Raw genomic sequence first — 17,687 nt, forward strand, 5'->3', positions numbered from 1 at the left:
AGGTGTCACGGTGATGCCAGGGCTTGGATGAAGCCTGGAGGGCTGACAGTATCCATGGTACACACCTCAGTGGGCTCCGAGGGGCATTTGCTCTGATTGATTGATTGATTTTTTTCAGATGGAGTCTCGCTGTGTCTCCCAGGCTGGAGTGCAGTGGTGCGATCTCGGCGTGAGCCACCGCGCCCAGGTTTTTGTTTGTTTGTTTGTTTGTTTGTTTTTAGAGAGGGAGTCTCACTCTGTCACCCAGGTTGGAGTGCAGTGGCACGACTTCTGCTCACTGCAAGCTCCGCCTCCCGGGTGCACGCCATTCTCCTGCCTCAGTCTCCCGAGTAGCTGGGACTACAGGCGCCCACCACCACGCCCGGCTAATTTTTTGTATTTTTAGTAGAGACGGGGTTTTGCCACGTTGGTCAGGCTGGTCTCGAACTCCCCATCTCAGGTGATCTGCCTGCCTCAGCCTCCCAAAGTGCTGGGATGACAGGCGTGAGCCACCATGCCTGGCCATTTGCTCTGATCTTGTATGGCATCCAGGAGGACAAGTGTAGGAGACAGTTGGAAACTGAAGCCCTGAGCTGGGAGATCCGTTTCGGTCTCTTCTCTGGAGAAGCTCAGAGGACCTCCCCACCCCCAAGGGTGGAAGGAGAGAAGAGTTCCAAGGACACCCTCCTTCCCAAATGCCTGTCACTTTCCATTTTCCTGCCTTGGTTCCCACTCCTCCCTCCTCTTGTCCAAACATGTCTAAGAGGGCCGGGCGCAGTGGCTCACGCCTGTAATCCCAACACTTTGAGAGGCCAAGGCAGGTGGATCACGAGGTCAGAGTTCAAGACCAGCCTGGCCAACATGACAAAACCCCGTCTCTACTAAAATACAAAAATTCGCTAGGCGTGGTGGCGTGTGCCTGTAATCCCAGCTACTCGGGAAGCTGAAGCAGGAGAATTGCTTGAACCCGGGAGGCAGAGCTTGCAGTGAGCCGAGATCGCACCACTGCACTCCAGCCTGGGTGGAAGAGCAAGACTCCGTCTCAAAAGAAAAAAAGTAAAAGTCTAAGAATAATCACGGACCACACCGACGTGTAAATGCTCAATGCTCACCCAGCCCTAAGCCAGTGGTCAATGTGTCAATGGAGGGACACTTGCCAGTGTTGGGATATCTGTGGTTGTCACAACTTGGAGTGCTCCTGGTGTGGAGTGGGTGGAGGCCAGGGATGCTGCTCGGCACCCTGCAGTGCCCAGGACAGCCCCATTCTAGAGAAAGATCCAGCCTCAAATGCCCACAGTGCTTCCTTGGTGCCTGTCCTATTATCTATCTCATTTAACCGTTGAGAAATTGAGAGGGAGAATTTCAGAGAGGGAAAGCGATTAGCTCAAGGTCACACAGCAAGGATGATATAACCAAACGGAATTCAAGCCCCTGTCACCTGTCTGCTGCGTCGTTGCTCTTAAATTCTGGCTCTGGAAGACCTCGGTTTTGTTGTTGTTGTTGTTGTTTTAGTTTGTTTGTTTTTGTTGTTGTTTATTTGTTTTGCAGTGGAGTCTCGCTCTGTCACCCAGGCTGGAGTGCAGTGACGCGATCTCGGCTTACTGCAACCTCTGCCTCCAGGGTTCAAGCGATTCTCCTGCCTCACTTCCTGAGTAGCTGAGATTACAGGCGCCCGCTACCACACCTGGCTAATTTTTGCATTTTTAGTAGAGACGAAGTTTCACTATGTTGGCCAAGCTGTTCTCGAACTCCTGACCTCAGGTGATCTGCCCGCCTCGGCCTCCCAAAGTTTTGGGATTACAGGCGTGAGCCACCGCGCCTGGCCTCCAGGGCTCCTTCTAAAATGCCAATTACCTGCAAGGGTCTTGGCTGTGCCCCAGAGTCTCCAGGCCTGCGAATGCTGCGTGGCATCCAGTGGGCGCTCAATAAATGCTTACTGCTTGAAGGAGCATCTCCCCCAAGTGTTCATCTGATGCATGTTTGTGGAGCACCTGCCATGGGCCAGGCACTGGGGACGCTACAGTGACAGAAAGGAACCCAAGGCCCCTCCTCTACCGGAGGAGCCGTGGGTCCCAGGAGTGGCGGAAATTGACCGGAAATGGCTAGAGAATGTCAGAGCTGCGCCGGGACCAGCTAGCTCTTTCTGTGAGGAACGAGTCACAGTTTTATGGTGCGCTTACTGTATGCTAGGCACTGGTCGACTGAGTGCTGCCAGGTAGTACCTTGGCATCCTCCCGGTAACCCTCCGCAGTAGGAACTATTTATTATGAAACCCATTTTACGGAGGAGGAAGGAGAAGTCCAAAATAGGTAAGTCTGTTGGCCCTGTCATATAGGTAGGAAAGGCTGGGGCAGGGGCGGGGTGCTGGATTCAAATTCAGGTGTGTAGGATTGCAGCTCCCCAGTGGCGAATGAATGAATGAATGAACGAATGACTGATTGAATGAATGAATGGATGAGGCAATGAGTGAATGAATGAACGAATGGGCGTGCCAATGAATGAGCAAATGAGTGTGGGAATGAATGAATGAATGAATGGTGCGGGAATGAACAAATGAATGAATGGGTGGTGAACAAATGAATGGGTGAGTGAACTAATGAATGGATGAATGGGTGAGCCAACAAATGGATGAACAAATGAGTGAGTTAATGAATGCAGGAATGAGTGAATGCAGGAAGGAATGGTGTGGGAATGAATAAGTGAATGGGTCATATAAGAATGAATGAATGAACAAATGGGTGAGACCAATGAATGAATGAAAGAGTGAGCAAATAAATGGGTGAACGAATGAACGAGTAAATGAACGAATGAATGAATGAATGAATGGGTGAGCCCGTGAATGGGTGAACAAATGAATGAGTGAATGAATGAAAGGGTGAGCGAATAAACAAATGGGTGAAGGAATGAACGAGTGAATGAACGAATGAACAAGCGAATGAATGAATAAGTGAATGAACGAATGGGTGAGTGAATTAATGCATGAAAGGGTGAGCGAATAAACAAATGAGTGAAGGAATGAACGAGTGGGTGAACGAATGAACGAGTGAGTGAATGAATGAACGAGTGAATGAACGAATGGGTGAGTGAACGAATGAATGAATGGGCGGGCCGGTGAATGAATGAACGAATGGGCGAACGAATGAATGAGTGAATGAATGAAAGTGTGAGTGGCGAGAGCCCTGCCGGCCGCGTGGAGGTGCGAGGCTGCGGACGTCGCGGGCCCGGAGGCACCTGCGCGCCCTTGGCCGACTCGGAGGAGGTGGAGATGGACGCCCGCGGGTCCCCTGGAGATGCAGCCGGCGGCCTGCGCTGGTGAGGGAGCCGGGCCCCCGGCGCCGCGTCCTCCTCATCCTCCAGGCGACAAGGTCAGGAGGGGCCGGGGCGGCGCCCCTTCCCTCAGCCCCCAGCCCCCAGCCCCCTACCTGGGTCTTCCCATTCCATCCCGTGGGGGAGGGGGCTGGCGAGGAGGGCAAGGGGGAGGGGGCGGCACCAGGGAGGGCGGGACCGGGCGGGCGGGCGGGGCGGGGAGCTCCGGCAGCGCCCAGCCCCGCCCTCCGGCCGCTCCCCGCGGTCCCTCCAGACCCTCTGGCCGCCGCCTCCTCTTGGAACCCCGTGCGCCCCCCGCGCCCCGCGCCCCGGACGCCATGAAGCAGCTGTGTCTGTGCGCAGCCGCCTCCTTCGCGGTAGGGCCCGGGGAGGGGGCGCAGGAGCGGGCGGGGCGCGGGTACCTCCTCTCCCCTCCCTTCCCCGTCCCCGGCTGACCTGGACCACCCCCCCATTCCAGACCCGGGAAAGATGGTCGGCGGCGGGGGGTGGGGGGGAACAGAGGTTGGGGCAGCTTTTGGGGGAATGGAAGAGACATTTGGGGAGACATGTGGACACGTTTTGGAAGACTCTTTGAAACAAATGGGGACATTTAGGAACATTTAGAGGGCATTGGGGGGTGCAGTTTTGGGAAAACATTTTGGAGACAGATGGGGTCATTGAGGGGACAACTTGGAAGCTATTTTGGGAGAGCCGATTTTGCGAAGAGGTAATGATTTGGAGAACAGTTTGGGAGAACATTTGAGGGATGTTTTTGGAGGATATTTTTGGGACATGACGGTATCATTGGGAAGGATGGTTTTACAGAACACTTCAGGAATTTGGGGGAGACATTTCGTAATGCATTTCAGGCTATAGTGTTGAGGGGAGAAGCCTCGGGATGTTTAGGGGACAGTGGTGGCATTTCAGGGCAGTTGTGGATAAACAGGGCAGAGGATGGTCCTGAGAGGCATTTAAAGGGGACTTTTAGGGGTTCAGATGGGACTTTGGAGGGTAGTTTGGAAAAGACTCATGGATCCATTTGCTGGGGGCGATGTTGCAGGGGTGGCTTTCACTAAGGGATGAATTGGGGGACAACTTTTTTTATTGTACAGAGTGGGTCTTGCTGTGTTGCCTAGGCTGGTCTCAAAATTCCTGGGCTCAAATGATCCTCCCACCTCAGCCTCCCAAGCAGCTACAGGCATGAGCCACCATGCCCCGCTGATGATTTTTATTTTTTGTAGAGACGGGGTCCTACTATGGTGCCCAGGTTTGTCTCAAACTCCTAGGCTCAAGCGATCCTCCCACCTTGGCCTCCCCAGATGCTGGGACTACAGGCGTGAGCCTCCATGCTCAGCCCAGGGGACAACGTTTTGGAAATAGATGCCAGGGGGCTGCTCAGGGGATGATGCTGGTGGTGGGCTTTTGTTGGACAACTGGGGTGATGGGCCTGGGGGCAGATGCTGGGGGTCGCAGGCTTGGGGGACACTGTCTGAGGACCCCCTCGCCCAGGACCACCTCCCCCTGCAGCTGCGGCTCAGCCCCACTGACCTTGGCTCCTGCCCGCCCTGCGGCCCCTGCCCCATCCCGAAGCCGGCAGCCAGAGGCAGGCGCCAGGCAAGTGCCCAGGGGCAGGTGGTGAGAGCCCGGAGCCCCTGTCGGGGGCGTGGGGAGGGGACAGCAGCCAACACTGCCCCACGCACTTCTGGGCGTGCCCTGCAGAGTCAAGACTGGGGCAAGAGTGACGAGAGGCTGCTACAAGCCGTGGAAAACAACGATGCACCTCGGGTGGCCGCCCTCATCGCCCGCAAGGGGCTGGTGCCCACGAAGCTAGACCCCGAGGGCAAGTCCGCGTGAGTGCCCGCGACCCGGGAGTGAGATGGCTGAGGGGTGGCAACCTTGCGGCTGAACCCTTGTCTCTCACCTCCAGGTTCCACCTGGCGGCCATGCGGGGTGCGGCCAGCTGTCTGGAGGTGATGATAGCTCATGGCAGCAATGTCATGAGCGCGGACGGGGCAGGTACTGCCAGCTGGGCCCCGGGGAGGGAGGAGGAACTAAGCCCAGGTGCCCAGCCTGAGGGTCCAGCCAGACCCTGCTCCCAGGTCTCAATGTTCCCCGCTGAAAAAAGGGGAGGCTCCCTCTGGTGCTCCTCCCCTGCCCCCAGGGAGACACACAGGGGCATGTTAGGATGGGGTGGCCAAAGATAGAGACTGTGGCTGGCACCGAGCAAAGCCAGTGGACAGCTTGTGGATGGGGAGTGACTAGGATTCAGGTATTGGTTCAGTTGGATGGGGAAGTAGCTGGCATGGGGAAGTAGCTGGGGCTTGGGGGATAGCTGCAAAGTTTCTGGGGTTTTGTTGTTTTGTTTTTCTTTTTTGGGGGGAGGGACAGGGTCTCCCTCTGTCACCCAGGCTTGAGTGCAGTGGCCATGATCTCAGCTCACTGCAGTCTCCATTTCCTGGGCTCAAGGGATCCCCTCCAACCTCAGCCTCCCAAGTAGCTAGGACTATAGGCGCACACCACCATGCCCAGTTAATTTTTCTATTCTTAGTAGGGATGGGGTCTCCCTGTGTTGCCCAGGCCGGTCTTGAACTCCTGGGCTCTAAGTGATCCTTCCACCTCAGACTCCCAAAGTGCTGAGATTATAGGTGTGAGCCACCATGCCAAGCCTGGGGAAGTTTCTAGAAAGTGACTGAGGCAGAGGAAGAACTGGGGCTTGGGAGATAACTGGGACCATTGGACGAACTAAGCTTTGAGGTGCATCTGGGATATAGGAGTATCCGAGATAAAGGAAGTGACTGAAGGGAACTGCTTGGAGTTTGGAGGAGGAACTGGATTCATGGGAGTAGCTGAGCTTGCAAAGTATCTGGGGCAAGAGAATAACAAGTAGAGTTTGGGGATATCTGAGGTATATGGGATAGCTGGGATCTAGGAGTAGCTGGAGCTGTGGGAGTAGCTTGAGCTCTTGGAGTAGCTGGGTTACGAGGAGAACTTGTATGTATGTATGACTTAACTGGAGACCTGGGGGGAATAACTGAGATAAAAATGTGTGGCCAAAAGGAGTAGTTGGGGCTCAGGAGGCAACTAGGCATGGGGACACAGTCAAATCTGAAGCTTTAGGGTCACAGGCATGGTGGGCAGGGAATATGGAATAGCTGGGGATTCATGGAGCATCAGACAGGGACAGAGTTGGCATTTGGAAGAGGAAGGGTATATGGATTGGCAAGAACATATACAGCAACTGTGGGTTGTGAAGGGCAGAGCTGAAACTTTGGTGTAGTGGACCCTGTAGAGTATCTGGGGACATGGGGAGTAGCTGAGGCAATAGGGCTTGAGGAATAGGTGGGTGTGGACAGTCGCTGAGATGGGATTGTCTGGAATACAGACTAGCCATGGCTTAGAGAGTCTCTGGGTACAGGGAATAGCATGGTTTTGAGAAGTACCTGATGGCCGGGCACCATGGCTCATGTCTGTTAATTCCAGCACTTTGGGAGGCTGAGGTGGGAGGATCGCACGAGCCAAGGAGTTCAAGACGAGCTTGGGCAACATAGCAAGACTCCTGTCTCTACAGAAAATACAAATAAATTAGCCAGACATGGTGGCACTTGCTTGTAGTCCCAGCTACTCGGAAGGCTGAGACAGGAGGATCGCTTGAGCCTAGGTGTTCAAGCCTACAGTGAGCTATGATCACACTGCACTCTAGCCTGGGCCACAGAGCAAGATCCTTTCTGCAGGGAAAAAAGGAGAGAAATACTAGGGTTTACGGACTTTGCTAGACTCAGAAACTCATCACAAGTAGTTGACATGGCTTGGGGAGCAGCTGGGAGCTACTTGAATAGCTGGAGCTCCAGTAAATCTTCTTTCCTTCCCCAGGTTACAATGCCCTCCACCTGGCCGCCAAATACGGGCACCCACAGTGCTTGAAGCAACTACTGCAGGTCATTTACTGTCTTATCTCAGCTACTCCCTTGGCCCCTACTACTCCTGAGTTCCAGCAATTCCTTGAACCCCCAGATGCTCTATGAATCCTAGATATTCCTTGGCCCCTTTTACTCCAGAACCCTAGCTACTCCCTGGATAACCAGGTACTCTCAGACCATCCACATGCTTCTCCTATTTAAGATGTACTCCCAAGCCAGGCGCGGTGGCTCACGCCTGTAATCCCAGCACTTTGGGAGGCTGAGGTCGGTGAAATCGCCTGAGGTCAGGAGTTCGAGACCAGCCTGGCCAACACAGTGAAACCCCGTCTCTACTAAAAATACAAAAAATTAGCTGGGAGCGGTGGTGTGTGCCTGTAATCTCAGCTACTAGGGAGGCTGAGGCAGGAGAATCCCTTGAACTTGGGAGGCGGAGGTTGCAGTGAGCCGAGATCATGCCATTGCACTCCAGCCTGGGCAACAAGAGCGAAACACCATCTAAAATATATATATATACTCCCAATGCCAGGTATTTCCTGAGCTCTGTTTCTCCCCAAGCCCTGGGTCCTTCCTTAGCCCCAGACACTCCCAGAGTTCCCAGCCACTCCTCAAATTCTCAGCTGCTTCTCAGCTCTCAGCTATTTTCTTTTCTCACCAATTTTCATGAAAATGGAGTCCCTTGGGGGCCACGGAAGGGTGAGGCTGAAGTATAGCAGAGCCCAGGGTAGGGAAGGCAGTCCTAGAGAAATCAGGCAGCAAGAAGGATGGCTCCGCCTCAAAGGACTCGCCCCATCCCCAGGCTTCCTGCGTGGTGGACGTCGTGGACAGCAGCGGGTGGACTGCCCTACACCATGCAGGTGGGTGCAGCCCAGCCCTGCCCTGACCCCGAAGCCCAGAGGGTGCTAGACTTGGGGGTTATTCTGCCCAGGGCCCTAGGGACCTGACCTGCTGTGAAGCTTCCTGTCTCCTCCTTTCTTTCTTTCTTTTTTTTTTTTTGAGACGGAGTCTCACTCTGTTGCCCAGGCTGGAGTGCAGTGGCAAGATCTCAGCTCACTGTAACATCCATCTCCCAGGTTCAAGCAATTTTCCTGCCTCAGCCTCCCGAGTAGCTGGGACTAGAGGCACCTGCCACCACACCTGGCTGATGTTTTGTATTTTTAGTAAAGACGGGGTTTCACCATGGTGGCCAGGATGGTCTCGAACTCCTGACCTCAGGTGATCCACCCGCCTTGGCCTCCCAAAGTGCTGGGATTACAGGCGTGAGCCACCGCTCCTGGCCTTCCTTTTCTTTTTATGAGATAGGGTCTTGCTCTGTTGCCCAGGCTGAAGTACAGTGGGGCAATCATGGCTCACTGCATCCTTGACCTCCCGGGTTCAAACGATCCTCCTGCCTCAGACTCCCAAGTAGCTGGGACCACAGGCGTGCACCACCATGCCTGGCTAATATTTTAAATTTATTTGTAGATACAGGATCTTGCTATGTTGCCCAGGCTGATCTCAAACTCCTGGGCTCAAATGATCCTCCCACCTCGGCCACTCAAAGTGCTGGAATTACAGGCGTGAGCCACCTCACCTAGCCTCCTCCTTTTTTTCTTGACATAGAATCTCCCTCTGTCGCCCAGGGTGGAGTGCAATGGCGCAATCTTGGCTCACTGCAACCTCCACCTCCCAGGTTCAAGCAATTCTCCTGCCTTAGCCTCCTGAGTAGCTGGGACTACAGACCTATGCCACAACACCCACCTAAAATTTTTTTGTATTTTTAGTAGAGATGGGGTTTCACCATGTTGGCCAGGCTCATCTCGAACTCCTGACCTCAGGTGATCTGCCCGCCTCGGCCTCCCAAAGTGCTGGGATTACAGGCGTGAGCCACCGTGCCGGCCCTTCTCCCTTTTTTTTTTTTTTTTTTTTTTTTGAGGTGGAGTCTCGCTCTGTCACCCAGGCTGGAGTGCAGTGGCGTGATCTCGGCTCACTGCAAGCTCCGCCTCCCGGGTCCACGCCATTCTCCTGCCTCAGCCTCCCGAGTAGCGGGGACTACAGGCGCCTGCCACCATGCCCGGCTAATTTTTTTGTATTTTTTAGTAGAGACGGGGTTTCACTGTGTTAGCCAGGATGGTCTTGATCTCCTGACCTCGTGATCCGCCTGCTCGGCCTCCCAAAGTGCTGGGATTACAGGCGTGAGCCACCGTGCCGGCCCTTCTCCTTTTTTATTACCTACTGTGTGCCAGGCACTGGAGCCCATCATAAATCCCGGTTACCCTTTGAACCACAGGCTATTAGCCCATTGCACAGATGAGGCTTGATGAGGCTTAATGAGGCTGTCACTTGTCCGCAGCAGGTAAATCGTAGGGAATCCAGGTCGTCTGACCTCAAGGAGCAGTCGAATGTACTCCTGGGCTTTGTGAGGATGAGGAGAGGTCCCTAGGGTTTAATTTCCTTTGTGGAGCCCCTAGGAGATACCAGGAAAACCATAGCTCCAGGCAGCTGGTACCCTCATAATCACCTAATCCAAACTCCTTCCCAGAGGGAGGGAAAGGGACCCACCGACTTGAACCAGAACTCAGCCCCCGACCTGTCCGCTGTCCCCGTGAAATTCAGGCATGGCTTTCGCTGACGACTCAAGAAACATCTGTTCTTTCGGAAACTCAGAATAAAATAGGGCTTTGGGGGTTTTAGTCACTGGGTGAGAATTCTCTGCAGTTGGAGTATGCTGCCACCTAGTGGCGGCAATGCTTCTGGTCACAATATAGGAGTCCGTTGGTTTTTGTCACTCAACAGTTAACTGAGCACTCTGGGAGGCCCAGGCGGGCAGATTAGCAGAGGTCAGGAGTTCGAGAATAGCCTGGCCAACATGGTGAAACCCTGTCTCTACTAATAATAAAAAATTAAGGCCGGGTGCAGTGGCTCACGCCTATAATCCCAGCACTTTGGGAGCCTGAGGCGGGCGGATCATGAGGTCAGGAGATCAAGACCATCCTGGCCAACACGGTGAAACCCTGTCTCTACTAAACAATGCAAAAAATTAGCCAGGCATGGAGGCATGTGCCTGTAATCCCAGCTACTCGGGAGGCTGAGGCAGGAGAATTGCTTAAACCCGGGGAGTGGAGGTTGCATAGAGCCGAGATCATGCCCCTGCACAGCCCGGGCAACAGAGCGAGACCCCATCTCAAAAAAACCAACCAACCAACAACAACAACAAACAGTTATTGAGTACCTACTGTGTGTCAGGCACCGTTCTACGTGTTGTAGATAAGGTTTGCAGCAATCAAAACCTCATACTGCCTCAGACATACAGCAGGTATTCAAACAGAGTTTGTTGACTGAAAAATGGATTTTTGTGCTTAATCAGACTGGATGTCAACCTGCTGGAATTCATACCCAGGGATTCCAGAGACCATGCCCTTGTGTCAGCTGCACAGCCTCCTGGGGAGCCTCCCTGTTTCCACTCTGGTCCTGGGCAAATGGCAGTAGGAGGGATCTCTTAAAATATAAATAGACAGGCCAGGCACAGTGGTGCACGCCTGTAATCCTAGCACTATGGGAGTCAGAGGTGGGAGGATTGCTTGAGCCCAGGAGTTTGAGACCAGCCTGGGCAACATGGCAAAACCCCATCTCTACTAAAAATATAAAAATTAGCCAGGCGTGATGGCTCATGCCTATAATCCCAGCTACTCGGGAGGCTGAGGCAGGAGAATCGCTGGAACCGGGGAGGCGGAGGTTGCAGTGAGCCAAGATCACACCCCTGCACTCCAGCGTGGGTGCAGAGGGAGACTCCATCTCAAAAAATAAAAATAGGTCGGGTGCGGTGGCTCACGCCTGTAATCCCAGCACTTTGGGAGGCCGAGGCGGGTGGATCACGAGCTCAGGCAATCGAGACCATCCTGGCTAACACGGTGAAACCCCGTCTCTACTAAAAATACAAAAAATTAGCCGGGTGTGGTGGCGGGCGCCTGTAGTCCCAGCTACTCGGGAGGCTGAGGCAGGAGAATGGCATGAACCCGGGAGGTGGAGGTTGCAGTGAGCCGAGATCGGGCCACTGCACTCCAGCCTGGGTGACCAGAGCAAGACTCCGTCTCAAAAATAAATAAATAAATAAATAAATAAATAAATAAATAAAATTAAATAAATACATAAACACATAAACGGGGCCGGGCATGGTGGCTGCAGCCTATAATCCCAGCACTTTGGGAGCCAGAGGCAGGAGGATTGCTTGAACCTAGGAGTTTGAGACCAGCCTGGGCAATATAGTGACATTCCATTTCCATAAAAAATTAAAAAAAAGAATTAGCCAGGAGTGGTGGTGCACGCCTACAGTCCCGGCGGCAGATTGCTTGAGCCCAGGAGTTCAAGAAAAGCCTGGGCAACGTAGCAAGACCCTGTCTCTAAAAAAATAAAATAATATAATATAAAATAAAATAAAAATTAGCCAGGCACGGTTGCACATGCCTTGTAGTGTGGGTCTCATTCCTGTAATCCCAGCCCCTTGGGAGGCCGAGGCAGGAGGATCACTTGAGCCCAGGAGTTCGGGACCAGTCTGGGCAACACAGCGAGACCCCGTCTCTACAAAAAGTATAGGGAACCACAGTGCTTGGGACTGGCAGTCGGCAGACCTAGATCCTAGATCTGACTCTGCCTCTTACCCCAGTGGGTGACCACTGGCCTGGTTGGGCCTCAGTTGCTGCATCTGTAAAATGCAAAACTTGCCTTTGTTACAAATTCCTCAGGGCACATGGGAATTTCTCATGAAATAAAGGAGCAGGGTCACACCCAGGCAGAAAGTGCCCAGAAAATGTCGAAGTCTCACCCTACCCCTACTCTTCCCCCTTTTGTTTGTCTTCCTTTCTTTTCTTGGTTTTTGAGACAAGATCTCACTCTGTCACCCAGGCTGGTTTGCAGTGGTGCCATCATGGTTCACTGCAGCCTTGAACTCCTGAGCTCAAGCGGTCCTCCCGCTTCAGCTGGGGACTCCCTAGTAGCTGGGGCCACAGACACACACCACCACACCCAGATAATGTTTGCTTTTTTTTTTTTTTTTTTGTAGAGACAGGGTCTCACTGTGTTGGCCCAGGTTGGTCTCAAACTCCAGAACTCAAGCGAACCTCCTGCCTTGGCCTCCCAAGGTGCTGGGATTACAGGGTTGAGCTACCGCACCGGACAACCTTTTCTCTTTTGCAGCGGCTGGTGGCTGTCTCTCCTGCTCAGAGGTGCTCTGCTCCTTTAAGGCACATCTAAACCCCCAAGATCGGGTAAGCTTCTGGGATCTCTTCAGGGAAGATGTTATGCTTGAGGTATGCTGCCACCAAGTGGCAGTATCTCAGGCACCCTTTGAAAGTCTGAGAAAGTTTGAGGTGAAACTCAAGGGCAGTTATATAGGCTTCTGCACCTCCCGGGGGTCAGTTTCTCATGCCATCGCATCCCTCCTCCTCCCTACCAGTCAGGCGCAACACCCCTCATTATAGCAGCTCAGATGTGTCACACAGACCTGTGCCGTCTCCTACTGCAGCAAGGGGCTGCCGCGAACGATCAGGACCTGCAAGGCAGGTGAGCATCTCCCCTCCCAGCCAGTCCACCCTATGCTGTGTGACCTTCGGCAAGACTTAACCTAAGTAAGACGATCTAGCCAGCCTCCTCTTCCCAGCCTGGCCTGGGTGCTGAGGTGGGCATGGGGGCTTGGGGGATGTTCTCATCTCCTCAGTAGCCCCCTCCCCTGGTAGGACGGCCCTGATGCTGGCCTGTGAGGGGGCCAGCCCCGAAACAGTGGAGGTCCTGCTGCAGGGCGGAGCCCAGCCGGGCATCACCGATGCGCTGGGGCAGGACGCGGCTCACTATGGCGCCCTGGCGGGGGACAAACTCATCCTGCACCTTCTGCAAGAGGCGGCCCAGCGCCCCTCCCCACCCAGCGGTATGCAAGCCCCACCTCCCCAATGCATTTGCTTCTTGGCAGCTTCTTGTCACTCCCCTTCTCTTTATCGTGAATAGTTTCAAGGTACCCCCGATTGGCTGCATTCTAGGAGGTCCTAGAGCTTACCCAATTCTACTCAGAACAGTTTCAAGGAGCCCCAGGGCATTTAGAGTAGTCTGGGAGGGGGTCTGCTTCTGCTTTCCTGGGTCATCTGTACAGTAAGAACTTTGCCTGTCCTAAGAAGGGCACCCCCTGCTGGGCAAGGTGGCTCATGCCTGTAATCCCAGCACTTTGGGAGGCCGAGGTGGGCGAATCACTTGAGGTCAGGGGTTCAAGACCAGCTTGACCAACATGGTGAAACCCTGTCTCCACTAAAAATACAAAAATTAGCTAGACGTGGTTCAAGCAATTCTCCTGCCTCACCTTCCAGAGTAGCTGGAACTCCAGGTGCCTGCCGCCTAAGTCCCTCACGCCTGGCTAATTTTTGTATTTTTAGTGGAGTCGGGGTTTCGCCACGTTGGCCAGGCTGGTCTCAAACTCCTGAACTCAGGTGATTCACCCGCCTTGGCCTCCCAGAATGCTAGGATTACAGGCATGAGTCACCCCATCCAGCCTATCCTCTCTTTTTAACAGTCCCAAGTCCCTCTCTCAGCACTCTACCCAAGCGCCAGATTTCTACCTTAAACGCCCTGATTCTTGGGGAAATCGGGAGCCCCCTACAAGTCCCTGGGGCCCACCAATGCCCTTCCTGGGCCTGGGAACAGAATGCCTGACCCTGCTTCCCTCTCTCCCCAGCCCTCACAGAGGATGATTCAGGCGAGGCGTCATCTCAGGTATGGACCCCTAAGCAGTGAAGGAGCCCCTCCTCCCTGCATCCACACTAACTTCTCCCCTGCCCCAAGCTCTGTGAGAAGAGAAGGAAGTTAGACCTGGGAAAACCTGTTTGGAAAGAATGCTACCTTCAGGGTATGCTGCCACCAAGTGGCGGCAGTGTGCTCAGCCTAACTCCCAGAACTGGGTGAGAATACTGGATGGGGCCAAATTATGGGGCTGGGGTGGGAGGGCAGTGGGGACTGAGGTTGTTGAGGGTTGGTGTCTTCGGGGAAGGAAGCAGATCTGGCCTCTTCCCCTCTTTCAGTTTTTTTGTGTTTTTTTTCCCCGAGGTGGAGTCTCACTCTGTCGCCCAGGCTGGAGTACAGTGGCTCGATCTTGGCTCACTGCAACCTTCACCCCCTGGGTTCAAGCGATTCTCCTGCCTCAGCCTCCCTAGTAGCTGGGATTACAGGCACCCACCACAACTGGCTAATTTTTGTATTTTTAGTAGAGATGGGGTTTCACCCTGTTGGCCAGGCTGGTCTCAAACTCCTGGCCTCAAGTGACCCACCCGCCTCGGCCTCCCAAAGTGCTGGGATTACAGGCATGAGCCACTGAGCGCGACCCCTCTCCTAGTTTTTTTTTTTTGTTGTTGTTGTTGTTTGTTTGTTTTGTTTATTTTTTGAGAGATGGAGTCTCGCCCTGTCACCCAGGCTGGAGTGCAATGGCGTGATCTTGGCTCACTGCAACCTCTGCCTCCCAGGTTCAAGTGATTCTCCTGCCTCAGTTTCCCTAGTAGCTGGGACTACAGGCGTGCGCCACCATGCCCAGCTAATTTTTTGTATTTTTAGTAGGGTCGGGGTTTCACTCTGTGTTGTCCAGGCTGCTCTCGAACTCCTGACCTCAAGTGATCACCCACCTTGGCCTCCCAAAGTGCTGGGATTACAGGTGTGAGCCACCGCGCTGGCCCCTCTCCCAGTTTTAAAGCATCTCTGTTCCACAGAGGAGTGAAAACGTGTGGGCAATGTGGTCTAGCTGGGGAAAGAACTGAGAGACAGAGAGGAGCAGAGAGTAAAGAGTAAGATCTGGAACTTACAGGGAGTTGGTCTTGTCTGCGCTTTGCTGGGATAAGTAAGCGGCAGGAGGCAGGGGCTGCTGGTTCCATGTTCTCAGGAAGTCAGGCCATGGCTGGGGCTGGCTGGGTTGGTTTACTGTGGGGGAGGCTGGCATGGCCCCCCGATCGGCCCCCTTCACTCTCTCTCCCCTCCCTTCCCAGAACTCTATGTCCAGCCATGGAAAGCAGGGGGCCCCCAAGAAGCGGAAGGCGCCTCCACCTCCCGCCAGCATTCCCATGCCGGTGAGAGATGCTCTGGGCACGGGAGGAGGCATGGGGAGCCCCCAGGCACGGGGAGGGGCTCTGGCTGAGACCTGGGATGGGGCAACCTTAGGCCCCATCTAAAGGCCGTGGTGGGGAGGGGAACAGGATGATCGAGATGCCTATGAGGAGATCGTGAGGCTGCGGCAGGAGAGGGGCCGCCTCCTGCAGAAGATCCGGGGCCTGGAACAGCACAAGGAACGGAGGCAGCAGGAGGTTAGGAGGCCTCGGAGATTTGGGCGTGGGCCAGCCTGGGTGGGGTCAATGCAGGCATGAAGATCCCCCTACTTTTCTCCCACCTTCCCTCCTCCATCTCTCTCCCTCCCCACCCTGCTGCAGCCACCTGGGCCTCCTCGCTGTTCCTCCAACTCGCCAGGCGCAGTCCTGCCTCAGGGCCTTTGCACCACCAGTGTCCTCTGCCTGGAATGCTCTAGCGCAGTCCTGCCTCAGGGCCTTTGCACCACCTGTGTCCTCTGCCTGGAATGCTCTAGCCCCAGATGGCCCCACAGCTCTTTACCTCACCTACTTTATGCAGTAGGCTCCTCGCCAAAGACACTTCCCATGCCCACTTCCCATGCCCACTTCCCATGCCCACTTTCTTCAAAATTGTAACATCACCCCCCACCACCCCCCCGGCCAACTCGCTAGTTCACTTTATTTTTTTTTTATTTATTTTTGGTTTTGTTTTGTTTTTGAGACGGAGTCTCGCTCTTGTTGCCCAGGCTAGAATGCAATGGTACGATCTCGGCTTATTGCCACCTCCGCCTCCCGGGTTCAAGCGATTCTCCTGCCTCAGTCTCCCAAGCAGCTGGGATTACAGGCGCCCACCACCACATCCAGCTAGTTTTGTATTTTTAGTAGAGACGGGGTTTCAGCACATTGGCCAGGCTGGTCTCTAACTCCTGACCTCAGGTGATCCTCCCGCCGCGGCCTCCTAAAGTGCTGGGATTGCAGGTGTGAGCCACCGCACCCGGCCTCTTTATCTCCATTTGCATCACTTGCTGCTATTGGGCATGCATCTGTTTTATGTGTGTCCACCCATTTGACTGTGAGCCTGCGAGGGCAGGCATGGCTGATGGTGCCTGGGTCACAGTATGGGCGTCGTCAATATTGATTGGGTGAGTGAATATTCAAGTGAGTGTATGAATGAATGGCCAAAACCAGGTCTGCCCCATAAGAGGCACCCAGTAAAAACTTTCTGGCTGGGCACGGTGGCTCACACCTGTAATCCCAGCACTTTGGGAGGTTGAGGTGGGCAGATCACTTGAGGTCAGGAGTTCGAGACCAGCCTGGCCAACATAGTGAAACCCTGTCTCTACTAAAAATACAAAAAAAAAATTAGCTGGGCATGGTGGCAGGGGCCTGTAATTCCAGCTACTTGGGAGGCTGAGGCAGGAGAATTGCTTGAACCCGGGAGGCAGAGGTTGCAGTGAGCCAAGATCACACCACTGCACTCCAGCCTGGGTGACAGAGCAAGACTCCATCTCAACAACAACAACCACAACAACAACAAACAAAAACAATCTTGTTGAGTGAATGAGTGGATGGAACGGTGCCTGGCATACAGCAGGTGCTTAATAAGTACATAGTAATTGTCCAGAATGGTGCATACTGGCACACACAGCAGGCACTTAATAAATACTTAGAAATGAATGACTGGTCAGAATGGTGCATGCTGGCACACAGTAGGTGCTCAATAAATACTGAGTGACAGGTCAGAACAATAGCTGGCACAAAGTAGGCACCTAATAAATAGGAATGAGGCCGGGCGCGGTGGCTCATGCCTGTAATCCCAGCATTTTGGGAGGCTGAGACAGGCGGATCACGAGGTCAGCAGATCGAGACCATCCTGGCTAACACCGTGAAACCCCGTCTCTACTAAAAATACAAAAAATTAGCCGGGCCTGTTGGCGGGCGCCTGTAGTCCCAGCTACTTAGGAGGCTGAGGCAGGAGGATGGCGTGAGCCCAAGAGACGCAGCTTGCAGTGAGCCGAGATCACACCACTGCACTCCAGCCTGGGGGACAGAGTGAGATTCCATCTCAAAAAAAAAGATAAATAAATAAATAAATAGGAATGAATGAGGCTCAACATACAGCAGGTGCTCAATAAATATTTAGTAATGAGTGAGCAGGCAGAATGGTGCCTGGTACACAGCAGGCACTCAATAGTAATGAGTGAGCGGGCAGAATTCAGTAGGTGCTGAATAGTTGCACGTGGAATGCGTGAATGTGCATGGAATGGAGGCTATGAAGCAGGAGGTGGGGCAGGGAGGCCTCTTGCCCAGATCCAAACCCCTGTCCCTGTTTCTCCCGTCAGTCCCCGGAGGCCAGCTCCCTGCACATCCTGGAGAGACAGGTAGGTGGGAAGGTGGGGAGGAGCCGGTCCTCCTGCTGCCCAGC

At 53.9% G+C, this 17,687-nt stretch overlaps 1 protein-coding gene across 17 annotated transcripts in view, besides 3 other annotated features; it reads left to right on the top strand.

Annotated features, from left to right (window-relative positions):
* Window positions 1-17,687, top strand: part of ANKRD24 (ankyrin repeat domain 24) — a 42,126-nt gene that overhangs the window by 12,182 nt on the left and 12,257 nt on the right. For 3 of the 17 annotated variants that reach the window (XM_011527761.2, XM_011527756.3, XM_017026438.2), the window contains 14 exons: window positions 4,813-4,899; window positions 5,005-5,135; window positions 5,213-5,301; window positions 7,156-7,220; window positions 7,999-8,056; window positions 12,238-12,264; window positions 12,372-12,442; window positions 12,631-12,737; window positions 12,911-13,098; window positions 13,894-13,931; window positions 15,188-15,268; window positions 15,395-15,502; window positions 15,626-15,820; window positions 17,605-17,643. In XM_011527761.2, coding sequence (XP_011526063.1) covers window positions 4,813-4,899; window positions 5,005-5,135; window positions 5,213-5,301; window positions 7,156-7,220; window positions 7,999-8,056; window positions 12,238-12,264; window positions 12,372-12,442; window positions 12,631-12,737; window positions 12,911-13,098; window positions 13,894-13,931; window positions 15,188-15,268; window positions 15,395-15,502; window positions 15,626-15,820; window positions 17,605-17,643 — 1,284 coding nt within the window. Of the gene's footprint in view, window positions 1-3,219; window positions 3,345-3,522; window positions 3,663-4,812; window positions 4,900-5,004; window positions 5,136-5,212; window positions 5,302-7,155; window positions 7,221-7,998; window positions 8,057-12,237; window positions 12,265-12,371; window positions 12,443-12,630; window positions 12,738-12,910; window positions 13,099-13,893; window positions 13,932-14,838; window positions 14,990-15,187; window positions 15,269-15,394; window positions 15,503-15,625; window positions 15,821-16,194; window positions 16,405-17,604; window positions 17,644-17,687 lie in introns of those variants that run through there. The other 14 variants (NM_001393985.1, NM_133475.1, NM_001393553.1 and 11 more) reach the window with 11 other exon arrangements.
* Window positions 4,459-5,105: an enhancer, noted in NCBI's record as "H3K27ac-H3K4me1 hESC enhancer chr19:4199326-4199972 (GRCh37/hg19 assembly coordinates)". NCBI's record gives its function as "activates a minimal SCP1, AML or CMV promoter by ChIP-STARR-seq in naive H9 embryonic stem cells {active_cell/tissue: H9 hESC(naive)}" and the evidence as "EXISTENCE:reporter gene assay evidence [ECO:0000049][PMID:30033119]".
* Window positions 5,106-5,752: an enhancer, noted in NCBI's record as "H3K27ac-H3K4me1 hESC enhancer chr19:4199973-4200619 (GRCh37/hg19 assembly coordinates)". NCBI's record gives its function as "activates a minimal SCP1, AML or CMV promoter by ChIP-STARR-seq in naive H9 embryonic stem cells {active_cell/tissue: H9 hESC(naive)}" and the evidence as "EXISTENCE:reporter gene assay evidence [ECO:0000049][PMID:30033119]".
* Window positions 10,068-10,281: a silencer, noted in NCBI's record as "fragment chr19:4204935-4205148 (GRCh37/hg19 assembly coordinates)". NCBI's record gives its function as "represses an EF-1alpha promoter that drives an FKBP-Casp9 reporter gene in an ReSE screen in K562 erythroleukemia cells {active_cell/tissue: K562}" and the evidence as "EXISTENCE:reporter gene assay evidence [ECO:0000049][PMID:32094911]".

The sequence above is a fragment of the Homo sapiens genome, chromosome 19 (genome assembly GCF_000001405.40).
Source record: "Homo sapiens chromosome 19, GRCh38.p14 Primary Assembly".
Lineage (NCBI taxonomy): Eukaryota > Metazoa > Chordata > Mammalia > Primates > Hominidae > Homo > Homo sapiens.